The sequence below is a fragment of the Homo sapiens genome, chromosome 3 (genome assembly GCF_000001405.40).
Source record: "Homo sapiens chromosome 3, GRCh38.p14 Primary Assembly".
NCBI classification, from domain to species: domain Eukaryota; kingdom Metazoa; phylum Chordata; class Mammalia; order Primates; family Hominidae; genus Homo; species Homo sapiens.
Window position 1 is genome coordinate 124,208,748 of NC_000003.12, and position 12,506 is coordinate 124,221,253.

At 40.9% G+C, this 12,506-nt stretch overlaps 1 protein-coding gene across 32 annotated transcripts in view, besides 1 other annotated feature; it reads left to right on the plus strand.

The window, feature by feature from the left end:
- Window positions 1–12,506, plus strand: part of KALRN (kalirin RhoGEF kinase) — a 692,957-nt gene that overhangs the window by 175,379 nt on the left and 505,072 nt on the right. The gene's annotated exons all lie outside the window — the stretch shown is intronic.
- Window positions 8,862–9,062: a silencer, noted in NCBI's record as "peak4803 fragment used in MPRA reporter construct". NCBI's record gives its function as "represses an SCP1 promoter by STARR-seq MPRAs in K562 erythroleukemia cells {active_cell/tissue: K562}" and the evidence as "EXISTENCE:reporter gene assay evidence [ECO:0000049][PMID:32103011]".

Here is a 12,506-nt window from a genome sequence, read left to right on the forward strand (position 1 = left end):
TGAATGCAGGAATTCAAAACCAATCTGGGCAACATAGGGAGGTCCCATCTCTATAAAAAATTTAAAAAATTAGTTGGGTGTGGTGGTACATGCCTGTAGTACCAGCTACTCGGGAGGTTGATGTGGGAGGATTGCTTGAGACCAGGAGATCAAGGCTGCAGTGAGCCATGATCACATCAGTGCACTCCAGCCTGGGTGACAGAGTGAGACTCTGTCTCAATAATAATAATAATAATAATCATCATCATCATCATCATAACCAATAGTTAAGAAAAATAAGGGGATAGTAAAAGCCCTAAACTCCTTCAACAGTCATGGCTATAATAGCTGCAATTGATTATTTATAGGGACTTTATGTACATTGTCTCTCTATGAGTTTGGTGTTATTAGCCTTATTTTACTTATGAGTCCACAAGGAACTGAGAAATTAAGCATGCTGGGTTCTCAGAACTAGAGAGATTAGAACTCATGTCTGGGCCAGGTGCAGTGGCTCACACCTGTAATCCCAGCACTTTGGGAGGCCAAGGTGGGCAGATTGTCTGAGCTCAGGAGTTAGAGACCAGCCTGGGCAACATGGCAAAACCCCATCTCTATTAAAAATACAAAAAATCAGCTGGGTGGTGGTGGTGTGTGCCTATGATCCCAGCTAGTGGGACTGGGGAGGCTGAGGCATGAGAATTGCTTGAAGCCGAGATCTCGCCACTGCACTCTAGCCTGGGCAACAGAGCAAGACTCACTCTGTCTCAAAAAAAAAAAAAAAAAAAAAAAAATCCATGTCTAACTGTTGTGTCCACCCACCCTGACCTCTCTGAGAGTAGCTCTGCATCTCAGGCCTGAAGGAACTGTATCCTGAAATGCTAAAGGAATTTGCCTATGTGGTTTTAGAGAAACCACTAAGAAATTATAGGGTAGAGATAGGAAAATGCCTAGAACTTGAAAAGAAAGGAATGAATAGAATCTGAAAATTCTAGACTTGCAAACTTGATCTCATGACCTAGCAAAATTCTAGAATCTTAACTTTTGCACTAACTGGCTATGCCACCTTGGGCAAATCACATCATCCCTCTGGGCTTCAGTTTCCTTGTCTATAAAGTATATGCTTGTATTACATCATCTCCAGGGTTCCCTTTAGTTCAAAGTATTTCATCCTAATAAGTTCCTTTAATATGTTCTGACAGTTTTAATGTTTCAGTCTTACCACCATGAAATAACTCATTTTCATTTGGTATCAGATGCTCCAGTGTTTCTTCAGAGAGTAAAGGGTTAAGAAGATGGAGTTTGGAGTGAAAGAGTTGTAGGTTCAAATCTTACCTCTTCTCTGTACTAGTTAAATGACCTTAAGCAGATTATGTAAACGCTCTCTGTATCTCAGTTTTTCCTCTATAAAATGCTAGTCTTTCCTATACTTGCATTTATTTCACAGGGTTGTTTTAGAGTTAAATGAAATAATATGTATAAAGCACTTAGCTCAGTGCCTAGAATATAACAAATACTCAGTAAATACTAGTTCCCATATTTATTGATTCTAAGATGCTCTTTTTCCTTCTACATTTTGCCATCTCTGAAATCAGGATGCATCTTATAGCTTATGGTGTGTAATAGTTTAATTGGCAGCAGTTTTTTCTTTTTTAATGGCACATAAACTAATGATACATTTTGCAATTCACTAAATATGGTATTTCCCCAGCATGGTTCTTATCCCTAAGGTTCTCATTTCTCCTCTGGGATGCTCCTTTCTTCAACTTTTTGCAGGCCATTATCTCTTCTACAGCAAAGCAGATTTAGGCAATGGAACAGCTGGGGAAGTGACAACCTCAGCCGTCATCTTATCTGGCTCGTTTATTTTACTGGTTTTGAAAATGGAGGCCAGAAAGGGGAGAAAGAAGAAAAAAACACAAAGGGAACTGAGGTCTTCGGATTCCTAGTCCAGTGTTCTTTCCCCCATCAGCAATGTTATTGGCATGGAACAATCCCACAACCATGACTCAGTTGCTCTGTAGATGCCTGGGCCCCAGTTGGATGGTGAATGCTTCCAAATTTACATATAGATTTTGATGGAAAGATTTTAATCCTACAGCCACAAAGCTGGAAATTAATAGATTTTGACTACTGCTTCCATTTGCACAAACGCAGAATTCTAAAATTTTAGAGTTGAAGGGAATAATTTTTTTTCCTGTGGGAACTATAATGTTCTCACCTTTGCTGTAGTCTGAATTTGCAAAGCATGCTCTCTGGAGGCAGCACATTTCCTCTAAGTTATTATGTCTACAATTTCAGGAGCTGACAGCATGTGGATAATTGTGTCTTGAATTGTGAATGGTTTCTGCAGTTTGGCTGTTCCCAGGTTTGTACAGCTGAGCCCAGTGGCAAATCAATCACACAGTTCAGACACTTCATTGATTCATTCACTCCATCACCTAGCACTTACTGGACATCTACCAGTCACAAGGCACACACATAGTCTCAGCTAATTCTCATAATAGCCTTATGAGATGTTACTTACATTTTGCAGATGGAAAAACTAAGGAATAGTGATGCTAAGTTACACTTTTTTGAGGTGGACATTGATGAACCTTCCAGATGTTGATTAGGGCATTTTAAAGCAAGAGATAACTTTATTGCTATAAGAAAAATGACTCAAAATTGAAATAGTAATATGAATCATTTTATAGTACAATATGTGAACAAATACAGAAATATGTCCATAGCCTGTAGAAAAGAAACAGAATGTTCATTGGGGATCTTATTAGCTCTACACATTAATTGTATCAGTGAATTCAGTGGCCCTATGGTGGGCTCACAGGTAAAAGGTACAGGCCCATGGGCTTAGGAGAGGGCAGCAGCAGCCTCCCTCCAACAGCACACTGGTGAGAAGTAATCCCAGTTACCCCAGCCTAGTGTCTCATTGTGCTTTATATTCTAGTTGGATGTTTGTTGGAGTCTTCATCGCTGCATGATGAGGACTCATACCTCTTGGTGACATGTCCTTTCCCAGTGCTTCTCGGGGCTCTCTTCTGCCTCTCGATTTTAGAGGAGTGGTGGCAACACAAGTGGAGAGGAGGCTACTTGCTTCCCCTTCTGTGGTACCTCTATTGACTGAAAAGCATAGGGCCATCTCTGGGGATAGAAACTGCATGACTCTTGTGCCTTTTTGGGAAGGCTTCCTGGAGGAAGAGGGATTGACAGCTGAGGTCAGAGCCTTTCTAGAGTTCTCTTTCTTATTCTGGGGATTAACCTCAAACAGCAAATTCAGAACATGCAAATAAATAGAATAACAGACAAAAATGAGGCAAGGCATGGGCATTTAAGAGACCAAAGCGGCAGAGGATTATAAAAATCTAGAAAAGAGAAACCAGAGAAGTGGATTCATACAGTTTTAAGTTTGGGATATTTTTTTCACATGGTCTTTATATACTTTTACAACATTGATTTTAATACATATTTGTTGTAGAAAGTTTGAAAACTATAGAAAAGTGTAAAAAAAAAATGAAATATCCCCATAATCTCACACCCCAGAAATACATTATGTCCATATTTGGGATCACATCAAATCACTATTTCAGAAGGTTAAAAAAAAAAAAGTTGAGTCTCAGCAATCTGATATGATTTAGCCTAACCTATATAGTGTGTGTATCATTAGTATCCTAATTTCTACTTTACATGTTGCGAGCATTCTTCCATGAAATTAAAAATTACTCAGAAATACAAATTGTAATGGCTGATTTGTATTTAATTTATACCTATTTCAAGTTTATCTTAACTATCCCCTTTCTGTTGGATACTTAGGATATTTGCAATTTGGGGCCACATTAAAAAGTATTGCATGAAACCCCTTGTTTGCAAATATCTGTCCTCCTTTTTCCTTAGTTCCTTCACATAGACATGCAGAAGGGATATCACTAGATCACTGTATTATTATTATTATTCGTATTACCAAATTGCTTTCTGAAAAGGTTGAAGCAATTTTACTTGCACTAATGGGGTTATAGGCAGGAAGAGGTAATTAATGCTGAACCTTGCTAGCATTGATGATTATTGCCTTCTCAAAATCTTTGCAAATTTAATGGATTTTTAAAACATCTCATTGTTTAGTTTGCATTTTCTTTATTACTAATTAAGTGGACTGCTTTTTCTTATGTTTATTATCCATTTTCCCTCCTTTTTGAAATGTATATTTATATTCTTTGCGCATTTTTCAAATAGGGAGCAGTAATTTTTTCTCTATCGTATTTGATACACGTTTCCTAGCTTGTCATTTGCCTTTTAAATTTTGTTTATAATCTGACATATAGTTTAAATTCTACAGAAACAAAACCATCAATATTTTTCTGATTTCTTTAAATGCTTTTGTGCCTTGAGAGCTCTTTCTTATTCAGGGATCAGTTAAATGACCATGCATGTTTTCTCTTAAGGTTTTTAAAAAAATGTCATTTTAAAGGTTTGGGCTCTAATCTCTCTAAAATTTATTTTATTTTGGTGTATGGTATGAAGTTGTCAGGATTAACTGGATTTTTCTTTTCCAAATATTCAGTTTTTCCAGTGCCATTTATTGACTACTTTATCTTTCCTCCATTGTTTTAGATTATTTCCTTATCATCCATTAGATTTTAAAATATGCCAGATCTGTATTAGGGCTATGTTTCAGGCTCCATTGATTGTATGTTAATTCTTGTGTCTGCTCCACCTTTTAATAATTTGAGTTTAAAAAATATACTTTCATATCTGGTAGGGCAAGCCCAACCCATTATTTATCTTTTTTAAAAAAAGTTTAATTATTTTTATCTATTTGTTTTTATAGGTAAAAATCTAGTTGAAAATCCCTTTGGCACATAGGGGGTACTAAGAGATTCATTCAACAGATATCCACTATAATGTTTAGCTTTTTAATCCAAAAACATGTGATTTTATTTGAATTTTATTTTATTTGAATCTTCTTTTATATCTTGCATTTCAAAGGGATAAACCCTATTTGCATACATGGAAAATTATCCCTAATGAAAAATGGAGTTTTCTTTTACAGCTCATTTGGACTTCAGTTCTTTTAGTCATAAGACAATTTCATCTGTGATGAGTGGTAGCCATTTCTTATTTGCCACAGGATCACATTGCAGAGTGAACAGCTGTGTAACACAGTTGTCCTGAACTTTAAATAAGGTTGCTCTTAAAATGCTATTTGACTTGTTATCATAACCACAACCTAATTATTAAACTTTTTAAGTGTATGAATATTTTACAGATATTCTATATATGAAGGATCAATATACAAAAGAGGGAATTTGCTCTTTTCCAATTATTTCAAGAATAAATAAGAAAAATCTGACATAGAAAAAAAGTTAAACATTAACAAAATCTGTAATCCAACTTTTCAGAGATAACTGCTGTGTACATATATATATGTATATATATATGGTTTTTATACACACACAAACACAGACACTGTATGCACAATTGAGACATGGTTGTACATAACTATTTTATAATCTTTTTCACACTTAACAATATACCGGAAAATTTCCCAAGGCATTATACTTGTATAATATTTAATGCATATTTAATGAATGCATTGAGTAGATATGGTTTATTTAACCACATCCCTGAGGTTGAACATTTGAGGTTGTTTCTGATTTTTTGAAATATATAAAGCTATCATAAATCTCTTTACTCCCTAACTTAAAATTATTCTAATCTTAGCATATAGGCTATGTTCTGAGTTCACATGCACATTTATCCATGGACAAGACAATCTCATGGCTCCCTAGTCATGGCAAGGACTCCTCTTTTCCAGGGAGCTGAAAGAGCAGGGGACCAGATATCCCAGCCTCCTAGAGGTCTTCTGCTAAGATTACTGGGAGAGGATTATGAGTGCTGGGGAGTTGGTGAGAAAATCGTTTCAGAGAGCATGGAACTGAGAATCTAAGCAACCTGGGGACATTTATTCTACATGTAGCAAGCAGATTTTAGGATCCAACTCACTTGGATTTGTATTCACCACTTTCCTGTGCCTTCACACCTAGCTCTGTGTGTTAAGGGTAACATAACCTCTCTAGCTTTTGTTTCTCTGTGAACTCCCCCTACTTACTACAGCCTGACAACTCAAGGCCAACTAAGAAAAAGACTCACAGGTCACTTACTCTCCCCAGACCTCTCTCCACAGGGCTCTGAAGGCTGCCTACTAGGTAGATGTGGTGGCTTCTTCATCTCAGATGGTGGCCTCGCTATCAGGATGTGTTTTCAGTAGGCATGCTTCTCAGAAATGCCACCTTGACCTGTAGATCTTTATGTAGAACCCAGTCTCATAAGGGCAGGGGGAAGAGGAGTTGGGAAAAGAAGGAACAAGGCCTGCCAACTGCTGGCAGCTGCTGGCAGCTATGGTCATGGAGATGCCCCTGACCATAGCCCCCTGGCCACAGGAGGAGGGACAAATGCACAATCAGCTGGGCAGCTGGTCTTCCTTTGGGAACAGGAGGCTTTCTTTTACATCTGGGGCACCTGGGTAGGGGAGCAGGAGTAGTTGTAGTACTCGCCGAATAGCCCAGATTGGGTAGCAGAGGGAAACAATAAAAATTCAGAGGACCCACACAGATGGGTGTGAGCAGTGTAGCTTACTGGTATGCAGTGGGAAGCTGGGGAGGCATTTTTTTAGCTGCCGTTTTCTGAGTTTACTCCGTTCACTTACTCATTCACTTGCTCACTCATTCATATATTCAGTACTTATTATTGAACATCTACCAGGTGTCAGGCCCCATGAAAGAGATATCAAGATGAACAGAGAAGAGTGAGCATTATGTTTACTTAGTATCAGCTAGGTGTCTGGTTTTTCAATTTTCCTCCCTTAATCATTACAACAGCCTATGAAGTGTAGGTATTCTTATCTCATATGAAGGAACAGAGACCCAGAGAGATTAAGCTGTCTAAGGGCACACAGCTAATAAATACTGGAGCTGGGAGTCAGACTTCTGTCCAAAGTCTGTGCTTGACTCAGGGCTGTGACCTTCCCCTCAAGACATGCTTGTCCTGGGAGAGCTTGCTGTCTTAAGTAGAAGACAGCATGATGAGCAAGTAATGGCCAGGTGTGTCCTATGGTGCCAGCCTCACTAGGAACACTCCAGAAACCTTATCCTGCCATTATCCAGGCTCCAGCAGATCTTGTTAAACATGTTTGCAGACCCTTTCTGCTGGCTCTAACCTTGACACAGTGTCATGAATCGAGGAAGGGCCTGGGGTCAAGTTGTCATCCCTCCAATGGCGGGGGTGTCATAAGTTTGGAAGGCTTACTGGAAATGTACTGCCTTGGTGTCTACAAAACTCATTTTGTGTTCAACTAACCTCAGTTCTTCCAGCTCTTAGTAGCTCCATAATGAGAGAGAACCACCTCTAATAAAGCTTATTCTTACAGCACAGGATCTTTCAGACAGCCTTCACCTTCTACCATCTGCCACAGTTTCCATTTATCTCAGCTAAGGAATCAAATCATTTCATTTTTTTCTCTGCCAGCCCAACCATGGTATTGGGTTTCAGCTAAACCGTGAGTGTCATAAAGTGTGCTGTGAGGGAGGCAGAGCCTAGAAAATAGGATCTAGTGGTTTGAACCCAAGATAACTTGTAGACTCTCACTATGACTGCCCTAGGCTATTGGTTCTCAACGATTTAGGGTGTCATAGATCCCGTTGAAAATCTGTTGACAACTGGACTTAAAGATTGTCTCTCAGAAAAATGGACACATATGGACAGATATGCAATGGTTTGTGTACAGTTTCATGAGGTTCATGGCTTTCCCCCATCACATACATTTTGAGGCAGGGTTTATAGGCCTGCTTCAGTTTGTCAGGTGAAAAGTATAACTTAGTCTGTCCTCTGGTGAGTAGAGTTGAGGATTACCCAGTCTACCCTCCAGAATTCTGGAGAAGGATTTTGGCTTCATGAGATATTCAGATCACCCCTTCTTTCCTATTTAGCACTTAACATTGTTATGCTTCTTTCTAAAGAAATAGCAGACATTATGAGTCAAATGTTTTCCCAATCATGGCAAATTTTCTAGCTTATGCTGGGCCCTGGTTATGCTAGGTCCACAGGGGAAGCTTTGTTGTTTATCTCCAGCAAACATTAACTCATCTCTTTGTTATTATGGATAGGGTCTAGGTCTTGGGAAAATCCCATTGTGTCTTAGTTAGTCTCCTCTCTTCTCCTAGACCCACCAGAGACTCATCACCTGTCTTGTCCAATCTAGGACCTAGATAATGATCCCATAATCCATTACCTCTTCTCTTCTTACTGCTTTTTCACATTTTAGAGACTTCCTTAGAGCTGGAGTTTTAGTATCTCTTTTGGATTATCTGAATATTTGTCCCCCATGTGTACCTCTATATTATATTTCTTGCATGATATTGAAATTACATGTTGGTTAGTCTGACTCTTTCCTTAAATTAAAAGTCCCTTAAGGTCAGGACCTCTATATTGTTTACTTTTGTACCCACAGTAATTGTAACTTTGCCTGACACATATAGGTGCTCAATAAATATTTACTGAATTGAATTGTATATGTTTGGATATCCAAGGCAATAACTTAAATAGGGACTCAAAAATTGCTTAAAACTCCAGGAATCTTTCCATGGCTAATCCATCAGATATGGTTAGCCAATTTATCTAGATACCTGAACATTGTATCAGGGGACATATAGGGTTCATGCTATCTCATTTCCATGGGATCTGTGTATGTGTGTGTGTGTGCGTGTATGGGTACGTACACAGACCTTTGCTTCTTGGTTACCACAATAACTTGAAAACAATACCAAAAAAACCTCTCTTCTGTAATCTCTCTGTATGTATATCCCTCCAATGCTTCTTCACATTTCTTTATCTCCATGATATATCTTAACATCTCTTTCATCTCTGCCTCTTTCTCTTTTGGTTGGCATATCCTAAGACAGCATGGACAGCAGCCACTCCAAGTAGCAACGTCACACTAGTTCAGGACCAAGGACAGCGGCATACATGTCCTGGCAGTGGGGAGAGGGTGCTTTAGTTTGCTAGTTTGTTCAGTAAAATGACCTTTGGATGTGTCCCTTCTCAGCTGTCAGACCGTACCTGCAGTTCTGCAAACCTGGTTGTTACTTTGGTCCTGGTTGTTCCATGTATGTGGTGGAACTGTGCCCAGTCTGTGCCAGTGTATTCCTGTGACATTGCTCATTGATGGTCATGGTGAGGACACTGGAGCAGGAGTGGCATGGTTGTAGAATCAGAAAGAGAGCAAGTGGGAGTGGGAAGAAACTCTAGGCTTGGGTGAGAGGGTCTGCTCCAGGAGCTGCCTGTGAGGGTCCTCTGCCCTAAACTCTGTGGTCAGCCATTGCTACTTTACTGCCACCCATATGGGGGTTGGAGAGGTGGTTGAGGGGAGAAGCATCCAAGAGGTGCTGGACAATTTCATATTTAGATACCTGCCAGAGTGCCTTCCATAATCACAGAGCCCCAAACTGACTTTTCAAGTCAGCAATTTCATGTTTAACTAGTCTTTATGCCCTGATTAAATTAAGTATTAATATTATTGATATTTGTGCTGGGGAAAAGGGAGGGGGACTGAGATGAGGGTCCCAAGGAGCAAAGCTTTTCTGTGTCTGAACTTGCACAGCACACACCTTCTGCCCCTCGGCGCCTTTGTAACTCTCTCCAAATATATTATAATAGCAAATACACAGCTAATGTTCAACAGTTGGATCATAATAATCACTGACAAGCTAATGTTCTCTGTTACTTTGAGGACCCATCCAACAGCAGTGCTTAAAGTAACAAAAAAGACAATAAATCTACCACTATCACCACTACCTGTGATGTATGAGCACTTTAGGTAACCTGGTGAGTTAGAAAGGAATCAGTTTCAAAACAAACACAGTGGGTGGATAGAATCACTTCTGAAGTGGCCATTTTCTTGTGTCTGTGCTATACTCAAGATGTCAACTTTTCTGGAGAGGGAGGGCGGGAGGAAGAGTGAGTAAGCCTGTGTGTATTGCAGCTGAGGTCTCAACTCAAACTAATATTAAATCTTGTGAAGAATAAACAGAAATGGTTGCTCATTAGCTGGGCTTAGAGAGGCGTTACCCATATGTTTAAAGTGCTAATTATTAGTGATCTTTAATGGAGCTAATTTAGCAGTAGAAAGTGTTACAAATTTCCATTCCTCAAAGGTAGCCCATTAGCCAGGTCTTTATAGCTAATATTGACTTTAGAAAGTTCATATTGAAATTGGCCTCAATTAGAGTTTATGTGAGAGAGGGAGAAAGATGAACATGAAGGTAGAAATAAGCACAAAGAAGCATCATGGGAGGAAGAGACATGGCAGTTACTAAACACTTTTTACGTAGAAGGTGTCATGACACTTGGGATGTGAGAAACTCTGCCTCTGGGTCACCCATTAAGTGCCAGCTGTGTACCAAGCACTAAAGTCATTGAGAGAAGTACTCAGCCCCTGCCATCAATGAGCTTAGAGTCTAGCGAGGGAGCCAGATGCAGTGGTGGACAATGGCAGAACAGGGAGGTACATGCCAGTGATATACTGAGGCAGAGAAGTGAGTCCAGCCCAGATGGTGATTGAGCAGTTAGGGCAGGCACCCTAAGGAAGCTGTCCAGCTCACTATAGTGCAGGGCAGAGGATGGTCATTTATGGAAATATACTTCAAATGCATATCAGAGTTGAGAGAAGGTAGACATTGCTTTTCTCCAGTGTAAAGGCTGCCCGACCTAGTTATCAGCCAAGTCCCTGGTTGTTGTCTCAGGTTACAGGAGACCTGGTCAGTTTGCTTAGAAAAGCTCAGTATTTAGCAATTGCCAAAAGAAGAACATTTTTTTCCCCTTTTTGTGTTGAAATCAGGTTAGCAGAGGCTCCTGGGTGTCCTTTGCTTAGAAATCCCATGGTCAAGGAGGAGAACTCTGCTGCACCATCCCTCCTGCACACCTGCCACCTAAGGAGGGGGATGCTCCTTGGTCCATTTGATGTTTGTGGGTGACAGCGATGAAGGAAGACTGTGGGGGGTTGGCCCCACTGCGCACAGGTAGATTTTCAGGTTGGGGAGAGGCATGTGGGTCTCCACACTGTGCTGTGTGTTTGGTTGCTGACATAAAGCTGCCCAGCCTCTCTCTCTCTCTCTCTGCCAGGTTTATTCCTTTCTCTAAGCACACACTTCCTGTCTTGGTGGTAGGTTTTTTTTTTGTTTTGTTTTGTTTTGAGATGGAGTCTCCCTCTGTCTCCCAGGCCGGAGTGCAGTGGCGTGATCTCTGTTCACTGCAACCTCTGCCTCCCGGGTTCAAGCACTTCTCCTGCCTCAGCCTCCCGAGTAGTGAGGTTTACAGGCTCACACCACCACAACTGGCTAATATTTGTATTTTTAGTAGAGACAGGGTTTCATTGTGTTGGCCAGGCTGGTCTCGAACACCTGACCTCGTGATCTGCCCACTTGGGCCTCCCAAAGTGCTGGTATTACAGGTGTGAGCTACTGAGACCGGCCGGTGGTAGCTGTTTTAAGGAGAACTCTAAGGAACATATTTATAGTCACTGGCGGCATTTTTCAACAGTTTCCTTAATAGCTCCTTAGTGTCTATAAAGAGGAGACAGGAACATTCACCTCTATTTCTTTCTCTCTCTCTTTCTGTGTGTGTGTGTGTGTATGTGTGTGTGTGTGTATCTTTCTCTCTAGCTCTTTATCTCTTGCTCTTACCCCTTTACCTTATGTTTTCTCCCACTCTTGCCACCTCTCTCTTTTTCTCTTGTGTTAACATAGGAAAGGAGGGGATGAAAGAAGGGAGAATGAAGGGAATGAAGATCTTGCTTCTAATAGGTTCTCTACTAACTCCAGTTTGACTAACAGTGTCTTCTCCTAAGGGCTCCACCCATTTTCTACACAGAAGAGACCAGGACTTTAAGTCTCTTTCCTTTATGATTCAGTTTCACATTGCACTTTCATGGGGTCTTACACAAACTGTCAGCCTGCTACTGTCCCAGCAGATCCCAGGAGGTTACCCACAAACATGCTTCCTGCCTCTCCTTGGACTTAGGGAGAAGATCAAAAGAGACAAAGTTCCAGTGCCCCTACCCCCTATTCTACCACTAACCTCAGCAGGGGCCAAGTCCCAACCTCCCCGTATCCTCAAAGATAAAGCAGAATGTGACCTGGAGGTTGGGATCAGAGCCTGCTGGGCCAAGCCCTGTTCAGGAGCCACAGCCTTCTTCTGGGACCAGCCAGATTCCACCCAGCTCTGCCCCTTGCTGTATGTAGCACAGACCTGGCTCTCGGAGTCTCCGAAGGCACTTGCAGTGGCATCTTTGCCGATGCCTCCCCAGGTGTCCACCCTGTTGGGAGTCAGACCACAGAGCCCACCCTCCTCCATGCACTCCTTTTCATCACCCCCTAACTCTGCTTTTCTGTTCATTGAGTAAAACCCCTTCATCCATGACGTACAGTTTGTTTGCCCCTCCCTCTCTGCCTTGGCATGTACTGCTTCCCACCATCCCTTGCCTC